Below are 2,503 nucleotides of genomic sequence, written 5' to 3' on the forward strand. Positions count from 1 at the left end.
GTGCATGCTGGGAACATGAACAGGGCTCCTGCAGTCTTGGTGCTGCTCCTTGGATGCTCTTGGCAGCATTCTTCATGGTGTTACTTTCTCTGCAAGGACATAATCATTCCAACTTTTAGTTTCACTGGCATCCAACTTTAGCCTGCTGAGGAAAACTCCAGAACCTCCAGCCAAATGGTTCTTTTTAGATAATCCCTGTGCCTCATTAATTTAGGAAAGCATCTGCACAGAGCACCTTGTACCATCACAAAATGCAAAATAAATTCATATGAAATTATTATTCAAAAGTTAATTGTTTAATCTGCTATAAATTGTTTTCTTTAGCTACAGCTGTGGTTGCATTTTGCATTTGTTACAAACCCTTAAGCACTGACTGGCTTCAGCCAGTCAGCTGAGTTCAAGTTCAGCTCCTTGGGCACGGGCCATTCTGTGCTGCCAGGAGAATTGTAGTAAAGATGGCAGTCTGGCTGGTCCACATGCTGTCTGCTTTGGATGAGGAAGAACAGATGAAAAGGTGCAAAGGACAGCAGAGAGTTGCTGAATTCCTCCTGCTGGCTTCTTTTCACATGTGACCCTGCAGGCAGCTAACCAAGGCTAAGGAATGTGCTCTGGGCAGGGCACATGGAATGTTCTGGAAGTGACAAGTAGTAATGCCTCCCATCTGGAGAACATCTAACCTCTATAGAGCCCTGCTGTTTTCAAAGCATTCTTCCATGCACTGTCACATTTGAGTTTTGCCACAACTCTGGCAGGTGGTAAGGGCAAAGTTGTTATCTCCATTCAAAGCTGTGGGAAAGTTGTGGCTTAGAGAATTGGGAATTTGCCCATGGCCACATAGCTAGGAACAGTCTGAATGGGTTTGAACACAGATCTACAGATTGTGATTTTCTTTCTGTTATTCTAAGAACGGAAAAAACATTTGTTCTTGTGGGCCAACTTTGACTGATTGGCAGTGGTTTTCTGGAGTGGTAAGTTCAGAAATGGTTCGAGGCCATTGCTAGACTCTGTGGGAAAAGATGTTTTGATTGACTGGTGACATCTGCCAGCAGTGAGGGAGAAGATGTGGTGGCATATTGCTGTCTAGTTACTTCCCATGTCCCACCCTTTCCCCAACACTGTGCCATAATTTGCTTCTTTGCATTCTGCTTTTTTGCACCAGGGATAAAAAGAATAAGAAATACCACCTGTGAAGCTTAAGTGCTACTCTCTTCTGTCCTGATCTTGCTGTGGGTATCTCTTCGGCTCTGATTGTGGGTAACTCAGGCAACTACACAAGCCCATGTGCCTATGGCTTCTTTGATAGAGAAGTTTAATGTGTTTTCTTCCCTCTGAGAAAGAACAGTAGAACAGGCCAGTCACAGTTATTATGTGAAGGAATGGACAACGTTGATCTGTTAGGCACTACAGTTGGATTCTTAGGTGCCAATCTAAATACTGTGAAGATCTAAGAATGTAGAAATTGCAGGCACATCTCCTCTTTACATCTGCTGTGAGAAACTATGGAGTACTGATATGGTTTGGATCTGTGTCATTGCCCACATCTCATGTCAAAGTGTGACCCCCAATGTTGGAGGTGGGGTGTGGTGGGAGGTGATTGGATTGTGGAGGCAGATTTCCCCATTGGTGCTGTCCTCACAATAGCGAGTGAGCTCTCGTGAGATCTGGTCATTTAAAAGTGTGAGCACCTCCCCTTTCCCCTCTCTTGCTCCTGCTCTAGCCATGTAATATGTGTGCTTCCCATTCAGCTTCTGCCATGATTGTAAGTTTCCTGGGGCCTCTCAGAAGCTGAGCAGATGCCAGCATCATGCCTCCTGTACAGCCTGTGGAATCGTGAGCCGATTAAACCTCTTTTCTTTATAAATTGCCCAGTCTCAGGTATGACCAATACAAGTACCAAGTGCATAGATGTCATCAACAGGGCTCTTCTTAATTCATTCCCAAGTCTGCATGGAGTGGCATAGACTTAAAGCATTCCCTCATTTTAGCTAAGTCACTCAAAATGTTAATTACACCTAAAGCAAAGCCACTTAAAGAGAGAAACCCTCTGTTTGAAGTTTTTCCCATGCCCCATTGAATTTCTCCCAGTGGATTTCCAACAACTCTTCCATTCTAACTCCATCTCTCATTAGTCCGTGATCACCGGGTTGAATTTTTTCCCCTGTACTTTCTGGCTTTTACTTCTTTGCTTAGAAACTCAACTTCTCCTATAATGTGTTCATTGTCCATCTACCCTGTCTTTGTGTGTTGACACCATCTCCTTCATGAAGTTTTTCTTAAACATCCATTTGTCTGGGATTTGTTCTTTCTTTAAATTGTACCTGCCATCCTCCCTGCCCCAGCATTTTGCTTACAGAATGTTTGTATTCTGCTTTATATTATTGTTGTTGACTGAGTGCTCCCACTACCTTCTAGATGGTGAGTTTTTTTGAGGAGGAACTCTTAGATCATATTTTCTCCATTATCTAATATAATGTCTAGACCAGAGTAGAAATGCAAAAAGTAT

At 43.2% G+C, this 2,503-nt stretch overlaps 1 annotated feature.

Moving 5' to 3' along the window:
• Positions 438 to 990: an enhancer, noted in NCBI's record as "OCT4-NANOG hESC enhancer chr7:23958471-23959023 (GRCh37/hg19 assembly coordinates)". NCBI's record gives its function as "activates a minimal SCP1, AML or CMV promoter by ChIP-STARR-seq in primed H9 embryonic stem cells {active_cell/tissue: H9 hESC(primed)}" and the evidence as "EXISTENCE:reporter gene assay evidence [ECO:0000049][PMID:30033119]".

This window comes from Homo sapiens, chromosome 7 (genome assembly GCF_000001405.40).
Source record: "Homo sapiens chromosome 7, GRCh38.p14 Primary Assembly".
In the NCBI taxonomy this organism is placed as follows: domain Eukaryota; kingdom Metazoa; phylum Chordata; class Mammalia; order Primates; family Hominidae; genus Homo; species Homo sapiens.